Source organism: Homo sapiens, chromosome 8 (genome assembly GCF_000001405.40).
Source record: "Homo sapiens chromosome 8, GRCh38.p14 Primary Assembly".
In the NCBI taxonomy this organism is placed as follows: Eukaryota; Metazoa; Chordata; class Mammalia; order Primates; family Hominidae; genus Homo; species Homo sapiens.
Genome location: NC_000008.11, coordinates 10,470,196 through 10,489,077, shown reverse-complemented (window position 1 = coordinate 10,489,077; position 18,882 = coordinate 10,470,196). Strand labels below are relative to the sequence as shown.

General features: G+C 45.6%; 1 protein-coding gene, 2 long non-coding RNA genes and 2 pseudogenes across 6 annotated transcripts in view; 3 read left to right on the top strand and 2 right to left on the bottom strand.

Annotated features, from left to right (window-relative positions):
- Positions 1–7,785, top strand: part of PRSS51 (serine protease 51) — a 66,431-nt gene extending 58,646 nt beyond the window's left edge. For 3 of the 4 annotated variants that reach the window (XR_007060820.1, XR_007060819.1, XR_007060818.1), the window contains exons 4-5: positions 4,832–4,991; positions 5,847–7,785. The gene's annotated coding sequence lies outside the window, so the exon portion shown is untranslated. The remainder of the gene's footprint in view (positions 1–4,831; positions 4,992–5,846) is intronic. The other variant, XR_007060817.1, reaches the window with a different exon arrangement.
- LINC03022 (long intergenic non-protein coding RNA 3022) lies at positions 7,104–14,513 on the bottom strand. Its single transcript, NR_120604.1, has 5 exons — positions 14,447–14,513; positions 11,784–11,955; positions 11,180–11,317; positions 8,886–8,939; positions 7,104–7,217 (listed from the first exon to the last, which is right to left on the bottom strand). It is a non-coding gene; the product is annotated as a long intergenic non-protein coding RNA 3022 (long non-coding RNA).
- LOC124901887 (uncharacterized) lies at positions 9,666–14,312 on the top strand. Its single transcript, XR_007060821.1, has 2 exons — positions 9,666–9,900; positions 11,297–14,312. It is a non-coding gene; the product is annotated as an uncharacterized LOC124901887 (long non-coding RNA).
- Positions 12,749–12,855, bottom strand: RNU6-729P (RNA, U6 small nuclear 729, pseudogene; annotated as a pseudogene).
- PRSS52P (serine protease 52, pseudogene) lies at positions 14,033–14,289 on the top strand (annotated as a pseudogene).
- Positions 14,514–18,882: the final 4,369 nt, after the last annotated feature.

Sequence of the window (18,882 nt, the reverse complement as noted above, 5' to 3'; positions counted from 1 at the left end):
AAAGTTCAGGGTATTCGTTATGGCTGGAAGAAATGGAGAGATCCTCAGAGGGCTTCAACTATGTAGTGTTTTATTTTATGGTATTGTTGTTTTGTATAAATACAACAATATTTTGTATAGTTAATATTTTACTGTAATTTTAGAAAGAAATGGAAAGGAGTGAAACAGACGGAGAAAATTTGAAGTATTTATAAGCTCTTCTCATTTTGCAAAACAAAATGCGTATTTAATGGCAAAATTAGTACTTGCGCGAGACAGCTGAAAGGGGAACAAGGGTGAAAGAATAGAGCAGCTCCAGGTTAGTAAACAGAAAGCCTTTTCTTAGAGCAGGCTTGGTTGCAGGGCTGCTCCTCCAGCTTGCCAGGGATTGTAGGAGGTCACGTCACTGTGGCTGCGACCTAAGGCCAGGAGGCTGGTGCACCAGCCAGTGGTTGGGAGGTAGTGGGAAACATGGCTATCCTGTCTCCCCCAGGCTGTCTCACAGCCTGTAGCTGATGACCGTGAGGAAATATCACACTGAAGAGGTAGGTCACTGTAAACATCCAATCCAACTCTACCAGAGCTCAGCTTTAGCTGGCGCTGCTGCTGCCTGCATTGTACACTGCAGATATTAGTCAGTGCATCTCACTGGACCCCAAATCACATCCAGAATACTAGAGTGAGGCAGCTGCAACATGACACAGAAAAATGGAATTAGGATTTAGGGGAATTGGATTTCAGTGCCTATTGAGACACGATCTAGGAAGCCTACCACTTTGGCTGCTCACTGTATGCACACAACCTTATTAAAATTTCTAGAAAACAAGAATAGTAACAGCATGCTCCTAACACAATGTGACTATTCTCTATGCAAACAGAACACTCTGTTCCTCTCTGAAAAGTCTCATAAAATCATCATATCCATCTTTGAGTGAGATTGTTTAATCACAATCTCAGCTTCACATCCCCGTCAGTTTGGGTCCTCCAAGAGCCGATGCCAAGACTGACTTATACATGAAAGAGATTTATTGGTGGAAATGCCTGGCAAGGATAAAGGATCTTGGGAACAGGAGGAGGCAGAGCATCTTCAGACCCCATTGCAAGTCTGAGTAAGTCTGGACCAGGTTGATGAGAATTCCTGAGCAAAGGGTGCCAGGTTGAGCAGTAATGGTTCAAGAAAAGTTGAACCCTGCCACTCTCAGCCATTGGCTGGGTATACTCCGTAGAAATGCAGTGTTAGTGTGACAGCTATGATGGATCTGGAGGAGCAGTAGCTGAAGGCCGTCATCAACTATGCTTCCCACAGCAGGTTCTTTTGAAGTAGATCTGGGTGGTACACCTCCATGGCCACCACAATCTTATATCCTAAAGATCAGTAATAAATGTAACCAATGTGAACACTTGGGGAAAAGAAGGAAAAAACAGAAATTGGTATATACAAATACATAAAACATCATGAAAATCCAGGCCGCTGCGATTGTTCTCAAGTCTGCAACTGATCCTGAGGCCACAGTTGGCCTTCTTCCAATTTGAACCTCAGCTGATCGTTGTTCTTTATTTGTTGGGGTGACCATTCATTTCTGAGCACTTGATGGTTTTTCCTGTATGGCGTTGCTGTAGTTTTCCACTGATTTCTCCCTTTGGACAATGAAATAGAAAGAGCATCTTCAAAGGATGTAATGGATTTCAGACATATTCCTCCTTGTCCCCATGTGTGGAGCAAATCTCTGTTCTTTGATATTAGGGGTCAGTCTTCTCAGCCAGGACACTAACCTTCCCCTTTGCCTATTGGCTTAGTGGTGTAATGAACTCCAAATGTCCAGGTGGCAGTCTCAACTCTCCATGCAATAAACCATCGTATTCCCTGGTAGAGACATTCTTCCCTTGGGAACTAAGGTCTCTAAACTTCCAGAGCTCAAAGTTGCAGTGGTAAGAAGCAGAACTTTATTGGGTGTGGATCACTACGTGCAATAGTAAATGAAGCCAGTCCCACTCTTATCCCTTGGTTCCCAAACCCAAGTATTCTGGCCATACAAGAATCAGCTCCTATTGAATGTGCTTCATAATAGACACAGTACTTTGTAAAAGAGCACTCCATCCTCACATGTCATGAGATCTCAACAGGCTCAGTTGCATAACCTTCATTGGGCCATTCCACTGTTCTATCAATCAGGCATGCTGCTTCTGGCTGGTAGGACCTATGGGAAGATCCGTGAATCCCATGGGCACCGAGTGCATTGCTTCAGGTCTGTTGCATTTTAATCTGTCGCGTTTTAATCAGTTTGTAAGAAGTAATGCCAAATGCAAAACCATTGTGATGAATAATCAGGCATTTGGGGAAGTTTTGTGTGATGAGGCAGCAAAGGCCTTGTGGGCCTCGGAGACACATCCATAGACAGAATAAATAAATATCTACTACTGTGATGGAAAATTGCTGACTACTCCATGAGGGAATGGGTCAACTGTGATCAGTTTTCCACCAGATGGGTATGTGCTACATCACCCCCAGCCTACAGACGATGGCCACAGCAGGGCCTTCCAAGGATGCTGGTGCTCTCCTTGGAAATGTATTTTTCGATGCCTGATATAACAAAGCATCCTCAGGAATCTCATAAACTAGAGTTAGAGGATGGGGGAGCAGGTCACAATAAATCCATTCTGGCATTCTTATCTAAGACTTTGGATTCCTTCTTTTATATTCTGGAAAGCAATTCTGTTTAACGGAGGCCATTTTTTTGGTCCAAGGTTTTAGTTCTTCAACCAAATAGAGCCACTTCCAGCTGCTCTAGGTAAACCACTGAATTCAAAGTTTCTCTTAAGTGCACCTAGACTGATAAATTTGGCCCAGTCAAATCAAATTCTAAGTCCCTTAGAATCCATTCTTGGACATAATCATCAGATTTCTACAAATATATGTTAGAAGAATGTTGCAGTTATTTTAATGTTTTCTATCTTCTCCTGGGTCAGATTTGAACTGATTTCTATGAATTCTACTGGGATGACTGTAATGACTGCTGTGAGAGGTGATGGGGGGTAGTGGGCTATGGGAGAATCAGCATTCCCTGGGTAAGTATTTTCTTCAGGTGAGTCTTTACAAAGTCTTCAAGCAAGAAGGGACTAGGTTCCCAGAAAGGAAAGGAAGGGAAACTCAGTGGACTTTAAGGTTGTGAAGTACGTTGATTCATCTTAACATACCCAAGTTTCTCAGTGCAATACTCCTGGTCGCAGTCCTTCCCCATTAATCACCTTTCATGGAAGCACCTAAAGAGGCTGTGAATTCAAGTTAGGTTGTAATTCTGCCAACTTGTAGGAACAACCCTGGGTTCAATTTCTGCTACGATAAGAGATTCTTTCAGGGGCAGTTGTAGAAGCTTCTTTGATGCTTCTCCAATGCTTTTGAATTATGCCTCTGAGTTGAAATTTTAAAGCCCTGAGATTGTTGGGGTATTTTGTGCTGTATTTTTTCTGTAAATTTTCCATTGCATTCAGTAACTTTAACCCTTGTACTTATCTCTTCCACCAGAGTATTCTATCAAAAAGGTGCTTGGTGTCTTTTAACAGGCAATTGATTCCATGAATGACAGGCCATAACTTAAGACATTGCATGTCATGGACTACCAGAAACCCATTTTCCACTAGCCAGGAGGTCATTATTGGCTTCAAGCTAATCCAAGCCTAACAACACATCTTAGACTTCCCTCCATCTTTGCAGCTGTATTTCCTGGAACCACTCTCAGTACCAAATACTGTATCAGTCAGGATTCTTTCAGGAAAATAGAAAACAATCATGTATCTCAAACAGAAAGGTATTTAATACCTGAAAATGGGTACTTCTAGAACCATCAAAAATGCTTGAGTGTCAAGGTCAGGAAAAACGGTTGCTTCTTTACAAGAGCTCAGTGAACTACAGGAATCATTGGAACCCCCTGCAAATGATATAATTATCTTCAGTATCAGGATGATTTGCAGAAGACCCAAAGTTAATGGCAAAACCTCATGACTGCCATCTGCTGAAATCTGCATGCCTGCACACAGCTGCCATGGGAAAATGATTGCTCCCTTTCCTCTGCCTCCTAAAACTTGGCTGAGAATCTAAATTGGAAGCCTGCTGGGATCCTGAGAAACACAGCTCTTAGGCTTTCAGCCTCTACAATACCTGAGAGATTTAGAAAGGCAGCGATGGTGCTAAAAATCAGTATATAATATCTGGCATATTGACCTGCTAAATGTGGAAAACAAGAAGAGTAATTCCCTCATGTGGTTGCTATGAGGATTAAGCAAGATAACACTTGCAAATCCTGGGCATAGTATAGTGTACATGATAAGGCTTAATAATGGGTAGTGTGGTGTCTTTATCAGCCCTAAAATCAGAATAGCTCACAGCTGTCAACTCTGTCCTCTGTGAGAATGTGCTAGATGATGCTAAGCCATTATTTTCCATTTGTCTCCCATTTCCCCAATACAGATCCATGTGCTGTACTTCCCTGGGTCCTGGGAGGCTGGCTCCTAGGGACTGAGTTACCTGGGATCCTAAACGCCACTTAGCTTGACCTCAGCAAGTACCAACAGAAAGTACCAGGGCAGGAAGGGAGAGGGTTGGGGTATTTCTTCCCTGTCACTTTCCTATGTGGGCCACTGTTCTGCCGCTGGCTGGGTCCCTTCTATACTCAGTCCCCACAGGGTAGTCCCTCCTTCACGCTTGCGGCCCTCACTGGATTCCAATGACAGTAGCTTGCCCTACGGCTTACTGCTACTGTTCAACTCTGGACATCTTGTTCTCCTTCGCTGAATCCCTTTACAACGCCCACAACTTTCAGTGCCTTCATTAAAATGCCTTCATTTGCACTTTCAGAGTAGAATCCTGTTTCCTTCTGAAGCCCTTCCTAATTGATATACTTAGGGCCATCTTCCTTAACACCCCAGACCTGCTGGTTTCGGAGCCATCGACCTCCTCATTTCCACCGCAGAGGGCTGGAGGAGATTCAGAAAATCAGGGCAGGGCCCAGGAGAAGGTGAGGAGTGATGGCGAGTGGAGAAGTGGAGTGATGCTGAACTCTAAGTCGGCATTGCGTACCCCTCTTGGCTGGCATGGGGATTTCACCTCCAGGAGGCCGGTGGACTGTGGCACACAGACAATGCCCTCCTGGACACAAGTCTGGGGCCCCCACCTGGCACCTCTGTCCAAAGTGGAATCACTACATCTGGAGTTGCAGCTCTGTTGCACTGCCTGCAAAGATCCAGCTGTCCCCGTACAGGGAAGAATTAGGGCACAGCTGAAACCCAAAAGGGCTGAAATCCACGGGGAGCAATGTCTATTTCTTAGTCTGTCTCCTGCTCCAAATAGCTCCCCTCTCCTCCCGCAGCTTGTGTTGACGAGTGGCTTTCCCTGGCACCAGATGCCACCAGAACGTAAACTAGGACGCAGAGGGTGGTGATGAGCCACAGGCCCTCAGGCCATGTCCTTTCCTGCCCTGACTCCCCAGGCTCCCTTGCCTGGAGTTCAGAGCACAGACCCTGAGTGACCCCCTGCTCGCCAGGACGTCCCAGCAGGGCCCCTGCTTCCTAGAGCCACAGCAAATTAGGGGGACCCTCTGTTCAGCCTGGGAGGGGGCCGGGGTCACATTTGTGAACTGGTGGGCAGAGGGAGTAGTGCTGGGTGCAGCTGCAGACCTCCCTCCTATCCCTGCCCCATCCCTGCCCCATCCCTACCCTGTCCGCCCCTTTCATTCCCTCCCACTGCGGCCCTTATGAGGCCTCTCAGGGAAGCCCATTCTCCCCCGGGACCTTCAGGGAGCCAGGCTTACCTGTTCTTTCCCCTGCGAGAGCTTTCAGGTCGGTCTCAAACAGGTCTTTCTCTCCCTGCACAGGTTCTTTCAGAGCATGGCTTCAGCCTGGTTACTTCTGACACCAGCCAGGAGGAACAGACTTCTTCCCCATACAGCAGGTACCACCAGAAGTACCTGAGCAAGATCACCCTCAGCTCCTGCAGCCTCAGGGCACCGGAGTGTCCTGTCCACGGGGCATTTGTTACGGACAAAGATTTGTGTGGCCTTTCACTTTGCACGCTGAAGCTTAACCCTGGCTGCAACGGGACGGGGGGCCACCAAGGAAGTCATTAAGGTTAACTAAGGTATAGGGTGGTGCCCTGGTTGACAGGATGGTGGCCTTATGAGGACACTTACAAGATGGACGCCCACTTGTCCCCCGACCCCTCTGGCACAGGAACTGAGGAAGAGTCACAAGAGGACACAGCAGATGTTGGTCACCTGCAGGCTAGGAAGAAAGCCCTCCCCAGGAACCTGGGTCTTGGGGACTTCCAGCCTCCACTGTGGGAAAGAAATGCGTGTTGATCAGTCCACCCAGTCTATGGTGTTTTGTAACGGTGGCCAGAGCAGACAAAGACAGTATGAAAACATAACTTCTCCCCACACGCTGAAGTTATAACAGCAATGCTTTCAACAAATTGGGCAACGCTTTTGTGGTTCCCACTGGGCGAGTGTTGAAGCTTACAAAACACAAAGGCATTTTTGAACGTCTGGTCTTTGAGGTATAATTTCTATTCAGCAAATTCACCACTTCAGGATGGATGGTTCTGTGAATTCTGATGAATGTAAATGGCTGTGACCAGACATAGAACTTTGGCCGAATGTGGTGCCTCATGCCTGTAATCCCAGCACTTTGGGAGGCTGAGGTGGGCGGATCACCTGAGGTCAGGAGTTCAAGACCAGCCTGACCAACATGGTGAAAACCCGTCTCTACTAAAAATACAAAAATTAGCTGGGCGGGGAGGCATGTGCCTGTAATCTCAGTTATTCAAGAGGCTGAGGCTGGAGAATTGCTTGAACCTGGGAGGTGCAGGTTGCAGTGAGCTGAGATCACACCATTGCTCTCCAGCCTGGACGACAAGAGTGAAACTCTGTTTCACAAAAAGAAAAGAAAAAGACAAGACATACAACATTTTCATCACCCCAAAACATTCCCCTGTGCTTCTTAGTAATCCATCCTCTTCCTGGAACCCCAAACCTGGGCAACAACTCATGCGTTCTCTGTGCTTGGAGTTTTGCCTTTCCCAGAATGCCATGGAATCATACGGTGTGCAGCGGCTCGTGTCTGGCTTCTCCAGCTCGGTGCGATGCTCCTGAGATCCGAGTTGTTGTGCGTGTCAGTCGGCTGCTCCTCTTCGCTGCTGTGTAGCACCGCTGTTGTGTGAATGCACCGCAGTTTGTTCATCGCTTCCTCTGACGATGGACATTTAGGTTGTTACCAGTTTTTAGCAATTAAAAAGAAAGCCACCATAAACACTGGGTACTGGTTTTCACGTGGACGTATGTTTCTGTGCAGTCCTGTTTTGATTAAAATGTGAACTCGTCTACTGCCGTGGTAGGCAATTTTTGGATGACTTGGGGCCTAAATGAAGAGAATGCAGGCGCTTGCTGTGTTCTCCCTTTCTGTAGTCTGGGACTGCCATGGAAGTCGTGTGGTTTCTTTGGGCAGGATGGTGGGTAATGCGGGAATTCTTTTATCTATGCCCTGTTCCATCTCATATGCATGTCCCCTCCAGTGCCCAAAAGTTTGCAAACACTTAGAGCAGCGATCAGATGTTTTGCTCTACTGACCCCAAATAAATACATGCTGTTTGCAAAGAACAGAGGCAAGGAGGCTTTCTCTCCCATTTCACGACCCCGCTTGGCAGAGAAAAGAAAAGCATTAGGTTGCTGAATTCTAATGCTTTGCTTACAGCTATGAGAAGTACAGTAAATGCTGGTTCTGACAAAACTCCACGTCCAATAAAATGAATGAACTGCCTAATGTTTTATCTGGCTTCCAGTTATTCTGATGGGATAGTTCCAAGAGGTTCTAAGATAAATTTTAAAGCCTCAAAACAGCTGGGGAAAGAAAGTCCCATAGTCATTTTTCCTAAAATAGAATATGGATAGAATTTTGGAAAATGTTTGCAAACTTCCCTTATGTATGGAATTTTGGAAAACGTTCACAACCAGAGCTCCTTGCCATTAATTAGTAATACTAGCCATTCTTCATACACCTGTCACATCCATGGTGATTTCTTATCAGAACGATTCACTGGCCGCATAGGAGGGAACACAGTTTATTCCAACTGGAGCTTTATTCAGTAAACTGATCCCCCCCATCTACCACTCAACCTGGTACATTATTCCAACTTGATAGCTTAACTTGAACCATGCAAATTTGTCAATGTTCTCCTATTTTTGAACCACCAAAACAACAATTCTGACTTAACTCAGAAGTTCCCGCAGTTCCCGTACACCTCTGTACCTTTGCACATATTTTTTGCCCAGATAGAATGCGGCTTGAGTTTCAGAGTTGCTGTAACAAAGTTCCACAAACTGTGTGGCTTAGAACAACAGAAATATTGTCAGGAGCTCTGGAGGCCAGAAATCCAAAATCCCAATGTTAGGAGGACCGGGCTCCCTCTGAAAGTGCTAGGAAGGATCTGTTCCACTTCTCCCTCCTGGCTTCTGGTACATTCTTGGCTTGTGGCAGCACAACTCCAGTCTTCACATGGGGCTCTCCCTGTGTGGGTGAGTGTGTCCAAATGGCCCCTTTCTATAAGATCACTAGTCATATTGGATTGGGGGCCTGTCCTACTCTAGCATGGCCTCCTCTTCATCAATTACATCTGCAAGCACCCACTTCCAAATAAAGTCACATCCTGAGGTCTGGGGGTTAGAACATCAACACAGGAATTTGGGGGACCATCACTTAAACCGTAACAAATGCATTCCTTCCCTCCCTCTAGGGCTTTCGCTTTGGGAATTGGCTTAGCCCAGACAATCCTTACTTCCTCTAGACAATTTTCCCCCTCGCCTCTTCTCCCACCGACCACACACCCGTGCCCCTCCCCTGGCTGCCAGTGATACTCTTACCCCATTGTATTAAGGTAGTCTCTCTGCCAATGTGTCTCTCCAGATGATTATGACCTTCAAAGAGACAGAGAACATCTATTGTTCATCTTTGCATTGTCCTCCAAGCCCAGCAAGTAGAAAATGCTCCAAAGAGCTCTGGATGACCTCATGAACAAAGAAATGAAAGAATGGCACCACCAAAAGCCACCCTGCAGCTGATCCAGGCATGGATCTGTACTTTGGACGTGTCTTGTTCATAGAAACTGCTGGCCAAAGTGCCTTCCTTTGCAGGAAGACATTAGTAGAGATGAAATGGGAGAATTAGAATCGTGGGCTTGGTATTTGCCATGGCCTGTGCTTGGATACACGGATTAGCTCATTACTCCTCTCAACCACATAGTGCTGTGCTATCATCATCCACATTTTACAGGGGAGTCATCAGAGGCACAAAGCTAAGGGACTCTGCTAAGTTCCCACAGCCAGTGCCCTGTCTGCTGTTTCACTTGAGCGGTTTGGAACAGCAGCCTGAGTCCTTCTCATTCCCCAAGGCTATTTCTAGAGTGCGCTTCCAGCTATTTTGTCCTGACAGGTTCAGGAAGCTGAAACGCTGCCTCTTATAGGAGCACAGCTGGCTGGGGAGTCCTCCCACTCCGAGCCTCTCGCCCCCAGCTCCATCCTGACCTCCGCACCCCACAGGGTTCAGGGTGACCCCGGCTTTGTCTGGACTGTGGCAGCGCCACCCATTCCCTATTGTGACCCAGGCAGTCAGGCTGGGCTGTGAGCTAGCGGGCGTGGAGAGTGAAGCCCCGCCTGGCCCCCCTTCCACACTGGAAGCCTCTCTGTGGCTGATGGGAGGACCAGGGCTGATGAAAGGATGGAGCCATGAAGGGCAGCCCTCCTGCTGCGGGTCGCCCTGCTGCTGCCCTGGGCCTGCAGCTCCTGGCACGTGGGTCTCTGGGACTCCTTGTGGATGTGCCTCTCCAGGGCCCTCCATCCTCGGTGGGCAGGAGACTCCCCTAGGGAGCTTGCTCTCAAGGTCAGTTCCCAGGCTTGCTGACTCAGTAGTCACGGGGTGGGATCCACAGGGCAGCACCTACCAGGTCTAACGCAAAACCATGACATCATGCAGCTAGAGCAAGGGCGGCGCATTAACATCTACTATGGATCCATCTTCTGGAGCCTGAGAATTTCTGTAGCCTTGTTCCATGTCCATGGTCAATGACTATCAAACCTCTGCCACAGGCTGGGAGCTGTTTTATTTATTTATTATTTATTTTTTATTTTTTTTGAGACGGAGTCTTGCTCTGTTGACCAGGCTGGAGTGCAGATCTCGGCTCATTGCAACCTCCGCCTCCCAGGTTCAAGTGATCCTCCTGCCTCAGTCCCCCTAGTATCTGGGATTACAGGCACACGCCACCATGCCTGGCTAAATTTTTTTTATTTTTATTTTTAGTACAGACAGGGTTTCACCATGTTGGCCAGGCTGGTCTTGAACTCTTGACCTCAGCTGATCCACCCACGTCGGCCTCCCAAAGTGCGGAGATTACAGGTGTGAGCCACCACGCCTGGCCTGGGAGCTGTTTTAAAAGCTTTTAAGCTTTTTAAGCTTAACATGGCTTTTATCATGCTTGAAGTTAACGCACGTTCTATTTTTACAGTAAATTCATGGCCATCGGACGATATTAATTAGACATACACGGCATCAGGACCTTCACAGCCACCACAGGTTTTCCCCTCTCCATCCATTATGTTCTTAGGAAATTCTACTTGCTTCCCCCAAACTTTAGTAGTTTCCCATCAGCCCCACAACCACTGCAGCCACAACCACTGCAGCCTGACAACCACTGCAGCCAGGCGTACCACCACAGCCCCTATTCCAGGGCCGCCCCCACACCCCCAGCTGTCGGCCCCGATGGGTTCTGGGGCAGTCGGAGGAATTACTTCTGCTAGGTCACTGGATTAGGGTCTATTTCAATCCACTATGACCTCATCTTAATTTAACTAATTATATCTGTAAAGGATCTATTTCCAAATGAGGTCACATTCTGAGGTTCTGGGTCGACATGAATTTTGGGACGATACTATTCAACCCAGTGCAGATCGTCTGTAAGATCTTAAAAGAACAGGTCCTCTGTAACAAAAGGGAGGCAATGAGGGGCAGTGGTTAGGGGTGCAGGCTCTGAAGTCAGATGACCCAGTCTCCCTCCTGGCTCCCCTACTTGAACTGCCTGTGTGACCTCGGCAAGAGGTATCCCCCGTGCCTGTGCCTTTTCCGATGTCCTCATGTGTAACATGGGAATAGTAAGAGTTCCTACCTTTTTGGGCTGTTGCGAGAATTCAGTGAGGTAATGCACATGAAGCACTGAGCTAACAGGTAATAGGAGATGCTGTATAGACTGTTGTCTTCATCACTCTCTTTCACTCCCGTCCAGTTCTCAATAGCATACACACGGCTGCCACAAATACACAGAAGTTTTGGGAATTAGCTCTGTGAGACAGGCCTATTTCAGATAAGAAAAATGAGGATCAGAGAAGCTGAAAGTCTTGCGGAGGACACCCCAGCAAGGCGAATTACAGGCCCAGAATTCTAACGAGGGCATCCGGACTCTGGGATTACAACCGCCTTCTGCGTCCCAGGAAAAACCTCCTCTAGTCATGCCCAGATCTGCCTGGTCTAAAAACCACAAAAATCGCAGGACTTTCCACTGAGTCAATGCTTGTCACGTCTAGAGACCTGGATCGAGCTGTTTCCTTCCATTCACAGAGCCGTCCTGCAGGAGAGATGTTACTTTTACCATCAATGTAAAAACTGAGCCTTAAACTGCTTCAGAAACTGTTTAGATTCATTCAACTGAATATTCACACTGGAGTTTGAATCAAGGCCTACGTGGCTTTAGAAATTTAAGATCCAAACCGTACCACTGTTGTACCTGACATCCTTCATGCACCTCCCTCATCTTCAGAGAAACAATTCTAATTCTTCACTTTAAAGCAAGGTAGTGTGACTTTCCAATGACTTCAGGGCATTCGGTAAAGAACAGCTTGGTTCAAAGTAAGTTGATGAGCACAGCAATTTCTTCATAATGGCAACCTGGTTAAAAAAAAATAAAATAAACCCATACCTGGCTTTGGGAAGGAAGTTGTTTGTTTTAATGTTTTGTATTTGGACTTGCATCACATAGAGTGGTGATTTTTTTCAACATTTTGTGTGTCACTTAACATTTTTAAAAATAAAGTCTTACAAGCTGTGAAACAATGTGAACATCCTGATCCTATCTCTGTAAAATATGATGGGTGCACATTGATAGACGAGGGTGTGGAAAGTTACATCTGAAGGTGGCAACAGGAGTTGCCTCTGCATGTGTGGAATTAGAAGGATTGTTGATTTCATTTATTTATCTGAATATACGATAGAGAAAGTTCAAGTAGCACAGATGGCTGCACAATGAAGAGGAATTTCACCTCTTACACTCATTCTCAGTCCACTCGCCAAAGGCAATTACATGGATATGTATTCTTCCTGAAATATTCTTTTCATACACAATCGTGTATAAAATCGTGTATGAAAAAAAGTCTGCTCATCATGTAGTGTGTGTTTATATATAAATGTACTTATTTATATAGTTATGGGTATTCTTCATGGTCTTTTTCCATATCTGAGTTTTCCAACTTTTTATCATTATACATTTCTTTTTTTTCTTTAAGTTCTGGGATACATGTGCAGAATGTGCAGGTTTGTTACATAGGTATACATGTGTCATGGTGGTTTGCTGCACCCATCAGCCCGTCATCTAGGTTTTAAGCCCAGCATGCATTAGGTATTTGTCCTAACGTTCTCCTTCCCCTTGGCCCCCACCCCGCCGAGAGGCCCTGGTGTGTGATGTAAACATATGGAACGCTTCACGAATGTGCGTGCCATCCTTGCGCAGGAGCCATGCTAATCTTCTCTGTGTTGTTCCGGTTTTAGGATATGTGCTGGCGAAGTGAGCACTATACATTACTTTTTAATAGAAGTTTTTGAAAGGTCCAAAGGATTTGGGGAAACCTTGAAAACCATGAGAGTTACCATATTCCTCAATTTTCACATTAATTACGTCTGCTCCATTTATTTGTGCTATTTGGTCATCTTTTTCAGCATGTTTTAGAATCTGTAAGTTTTTTGTAATTCAATGTTTTGTGCCACAAGATAACATTTTGATACAATATTTGTAATTTTTGCATTGGCATATGTCAGTTTGTGTATCTACTGTATTCGTCCAGAGACCTATTATGAGGTGCAACGGGTTTTTGTTGGTGTTTTTTCCTTTTTGTTATTGTGAACAACACAGGAAGAGAAAAATGGGTTGGCTGAAAATGGATTTGGGGTGAAAAGGCAGGGGGAAAATGTGAAGAATTTTGAAAAAAACATACAAAAGTGCTTAGAGGTAAAATAGATTATAAAACCAGCCCTTGTTGTATTAAAACTAATGCACGAGCTGGGCGCGGTGGCTCACGCCTGTAATCCCAGCACTTTGGGAGGCCGAGGTGGGTAGATTACCTGCAGTCAGGAGTTCGAGACCAGCCTGGCCAATATGGTGAAACTCCATCTCTACTAAAAATACAAAAATTAGCCAGGCATGGTGGCATTTGCATGTAGTCCCAGCTAGTCGGGAGGGTGAGGCAGGAGAATCGCTTGAACCCAGGAGGTGGAGGTTGCAGTGAGCTGAGATTGCACCACTGCACTCCAGCCTGGGTGACAGAGTGAGACTCTGTCTCAAAAATAATAATAAAACTAATGCATGAGACTAGATGGTGATGATTGAGAGTCCTTGTTGACCAAATTGTTTGTTTTCTTCTCCAGAAGTCCCAGAGCATAGCTATGTGGTTGGAGAGCCTAATCAAAACTACTGTCCCAAAGGCTGTAGTCCCAGCCCTTTCAGAGGCCAAGTCAGGAAAATTGCTTGAGCCCAGAAGTTCAAAATTGCAGTGAGCTATGATTGCACCACTGCACTTCAGCCTGGGCAACAGAGCAAGACCCTGACTCTTAAAAAAAAGAAGTCTGTTCATCAAAAGGTGCCATAAGTGCTTTTTGCCTAGTGCCAGCGGGCTGCACCTCAGTAGGCTATAGGAGTAACTTGTTCCTGCCCCTTCCCCTCCCAAACAACCTTTCTTTCCTAGGGTGACAGTAGGGGGGCCTCTGGTTTGCCAGAAAAAGAACAAAAGCACATGGTACCAGCTGGGTATTATCAGCTGGGGTGTGGGCTGTGGCCAGAAGAACATGCCTGGAGTGTACACCGAGTTGTCCAATTATCTGCTTTGGATCGAGAGGAAGACTGTGCTGGCAGGGAAGCCGTATAAGTATGAGCCAGACTCTGTGTACGCTTTGCTTCTCTCACCCTGGGCCATCCTGTTACTGTATTTTGTGATGCTTCTATTATCCTGGTGATTAAACACCACGTTGTCTCAAAAGCCAAGCGTCCTTCTCAGTTTGTGCACTAAGGTAGAGAGCAACTCCACGTTGCAATGAGTGGCTCTCAGATGATGAGTTGTGCCTGAACTAATCATAGAACTATAGTACTACTTAAAAGATAGCTAAGACTCACATCACAGCCTATGGGTCACCTGGAACTTGGAAGTAGCTTGCCACTTTTAGCCTGAGTCCTCTCCAAGAGTTTGGAGGGAGTGCCTTTCCACCAGGGGGAGCATGCCAGGGACCTGGGAAGCAGGAAGCTCGCTCTTTCCTCCTTGCAAACAGGCATCCTTCCACAGCAGCTTTTATCCTACAAAAGGGCAGACAGTTCACGAGATAGGAAACATGTTGAACTCCCTCCCCCTTCATTGGTAGTTCATCCCGGACACCTGCAGATTTGGTTTCCAGAAAGATCCTTGTCCTTCACCCTGCTTGCTCCCTCAGCCACCACCTGGTCCTGAGTCCCCAGTAAAAGTTGCTTTTGGCTCTCAGAGATGAGCAACAACGCTAAGATTCAGGATGAGAAGTCATTGAAGCAGAAATGTCCTAGTGTTGGGGTGGGAAAAAAACACACAGCTAATGAGATGTAGCAGTCAACGTACCTTTGCTCGCACGCATCAGGAGCTCCAATCGAAGCTGAAAAGGATGTCGGTGGTGCAGACTCAAAAGAAGAGCAGAGACCCTGGGAGCTGCCCCAGTAAACAGCAGTCTGACAGTCTGATGGACACCAAGGGCACCATTCGGGCCATCTGGATGAGAGGGTGGACTGTCCATTCTTCATGCAATCATCGTTGAGCAGAATTTTTTCAATCAGGCATGATACACAAAACAGCATTCTTTACTGAGGCAACTTGGCATGTTTTTAAAGAGAGAGAATGAAAAAACTGCAGAATATTTTTTTAAAATGAGAGCATTTTATATGAGTTTACCTGAAGTGGCATTCGATGAGCTGTGAACAACAACAACAACAACAACAACAACAACAACAAAGGAAAAGCATCAACCTTTGTGCATATACATTTGAGAAGAAAGAAAAAATGATGTAAAGACAGTTCCTTTAGCCTGCCCTTCATTAGCTTTCTCAGAACAGGATAGCTTGTCCACCATCTGAGTCTAGAAAGCATTTAGGTGAGGAAGCACCTAAACGCTTTAGCAGGAAGAATCAGTATATACCTGCAGTCTGTTTTTATCTAAAGCTGTAGTGGCCATAAGAATTTTGGCAACTGGGAAGCAAAGAATGGTGGCTACACACAGATGGGGTAGTGTCCCCAAGAAAGCTGGGTTTAAAAAAGATTTCCTCTTGTCTATGAAGTAAGAGCAGTGACAATTCCCTGGGCTTAAAGTTCAGAAGGCTGAGGCTAGGAGAGGTTGCAGTCTTGTGCCTTCACCTCAGGCCAGTAGGCAGATAGAGAAGCTGAAATGAGCAGACCACTCCACCAAGCTCCTGTGAGAGGGTGTGTGTGTACATGTATGTGTATGTGTGTGCATGTACATGTGTATGTGTGCAGATGTAGTATGTGCATGTACATGTGTGCACATGCACTGTTTGCATGTATGTGTGCACCTGTGTGTGTACTGTGTGGTTGGGTGTGTACTTGTGTGTGCGTGTATGTGTGTGTGTACGTGTGTGTGATGTGTGTTTAGTGGGGGTGCTTCTCTGCCTCCATCACAAAGTAGTTGTCAGACTTTCAGATTTTTGCTAATTCTATAAGAAAGAAATGATAACTCAAAGTCGGTTTTTTAAAAAATTGAAATTTGCGCAAAGAGAAATACTCTGATCTTAAGTATACAATGTGAGGAGTTCTTAAAAATGGTTTTAATTTTTATTAAACCCATTTTATCAATTATTTCATCGTTAGTACATGCTGAATCCTAAAAAATTTTCACCTATTCCAATATTGAGAAGATATTGTATTATTTTCTTTTAAAAGCTTTATCATTTTAGCTCTAACATTTAGGTCCATCATCTATCTTGAAATTACTTCTGTGTATGGTGTGATATGGGTCAGGATTCATTTGTTTCATATACACAGCCAATTGAATTGAAAAGGCCTTACTTTTTCCATTGGATTGCCTTGGCATCTTGGTCTAAATAAGTTGGTCTGAATTAGTATAAGTACAGGTCTATTTCTGGAGTTATGTCATTTTTTTGCTGACCTGGGTATTCTAGGACTGGGTATCTGGTTTGGTTTTTATTTGATATCTGACCTGGATGTCTTTGTTTCCACTTGAAAGTGGCATACAGAGAGTCGGTAAAAATAGCTATTTAAGGCAATCTTTTGGTAGCCCAAGTGGTTGCTGCTATTGGCCATTATGATGGGAACGAGGAACACAAGTGGTAGAACAGGTAGGGAGGCAGACACGAGCAGAGCAGGAGAGATCCCCATCCCCCAATGAGGAGTGGCAGGTGACCCTCAGGTAATGCTCAGCAGTTGTTAAGCTGTCTCTTTAAAACAATAATTGGTCACAGCTGGCACCAGGGAACGGCAGTCTCACAGTAGATAGAAAACACCTAAAGCTGGTGACCAGCAGCTTCCCAGTAAGATCTCAGGAGCTGGGTTAGTGGGCCCAAGCATGTGCACGAAGAGGCAAAATGGCAGAGTTTAACTGGTATATGACCTTCCTCCAGAAATGTTCGACTGATAAGGGAAAAATGCCTCAAGTGAACACGCACACAACTTTAGTCAACACACTGCGCATCCTCACCTCCCAAGTGCTGGCAGGCCACTGGGCGTGTGGAGAGCCCACCCCAAGGGAAGAATCAGGGAAAAAGAGATGCAGACCCCTCAAGCCTGCCAACGTATAAAACCCCAAGTCAAAGGCCAAACAGCGCACTTGAATCTCTCAAGTTGCCTGCTTGGCCCTCTTCCAAGTATACTTTACTTCCTTTCTTTCCTGCTCTAAAACTTTTTGATAAACTTTCACTACTGCTCAAAAACTTGCCTTAGTTTCTCCCTCTTCCTTATGCCCCTCAGTCAAACTCTTTCTTCTGAGGAGGCAAGAACTGAGGTTGCTGCAGACCCACATGGATTTGCTGCTGTTAACACAAGAACTGTGGGGGCAAGCTAATTGTTTAGAGTAGAGCTGAATTTAAGAAAATAGCAGCTCAGGTTTTTATTTTATTTTATTTTTGGCTTAAGTCTCTCTCTTTTTTTTTTTTTTTTATTTTTTCTGAGACAGAGTCTTGCTCTTTCACCCAGGCCGGAGTGCAGTGGCGCTATCTCGGCTCACTGCAAGCTCCGCCTCCTGGGTTCACGCCATTCTCCTGCCTCAGCCTCCCGGGTAGCTGGGACTACAGGTGCCTGCCACCGCACCCAGCTAATTTTTTGTATTTTTAGTAGAGACGGGGTTTCACCGTGTTAGCCAGGATGGTCTTGATCTCCTGGCCTTGTGATCCACCCACCTCGGCCTCCCAAAGTACTGGGATTACAGGCGTGAGCCACCGTGCCCGGCCAAGCCTCTTCTCTCTTGTAGCTGTAGAACCAGTGTAGCAAATACTTGGGCTCCAAATTTAATCCTATTGATTGCATGAATACAATATAAATACAATTCACAGCCTTTCTAGGTCTCTCATGTGAAAGGTAGGGTTGGGGGAAAGATTAGACATCTGAGACTCAAAATAGGAGGATTTGGGTAGATTTTCATATATCTGTTATAAAATGGAAGCATTATTATTATTTATGTGTGGTAAAGCCAACAGATCAGAAGACAACTGCCATTGAAAAGAGAGTTTGTTACTCACAGTTTCCTGGAGGAGGAGCATGCAGAACCACATGGGGAAGCACCAGAGGCAGAAGGAGCAGGCAAGAGCATGCAGGCAGAGTCTTTACTGTGGGCTTTGCAGGAAGGAATGGGTGAGGCAGGCTCCACAGGCTGAGGATTGGCTAGTGTGGATAATTCAGCAGGCTCTGGAGGATAGAGATGGCTGCCAGTTGCCTGGCACCTGGCTCTGGTGATTAGGGGAGAGAGAGCACAATAAAGGAGGTATTTGGTGGGTAGTCGCTTTGCATTGGTTGGGTTGCATATGAAAAGTGCACTTGCAGACGAGTCTTTTACTCTGTCTAGGAACTGTCCAGCCCTGGGATGGGCAGACACTCTAGGATCAACAAGGTCCCAGATATCAAACACCATAAATACAAAACACTGAAAATACAAAAACTTCAAAAACAAAAAAAGGCACGATTAATACAGTATTCAAGTACCTTGAAAACACAAATCCCACTGAGTCTCACTTACCAGCAAAAAAAACCTTTCCTCTCTTCTGAAAACTCTGGCCATTTCCTGCTTGAGAGTCCTGGAATGATCTCATATGAAGCAGTTACTTTATAGAAGGATGCTAATTATCTTCAAAACCCAACCCACCAACTCTCCTGGCCTCCAGGATTATAAATACAACTCAATTTCACAGTATCCCACAGGAAAAAAAAGTACAAAAATTGGATCTGGAGGACATTAAACAACAAAAGGATGCTAAAATTTTGCTAAGACATCAGAATGCACCTGCAAAATATGGTTGAGATAAAATCTAAAAGTACTAAAACAAGGGGGAAAAACATAGCACTGGAGTGG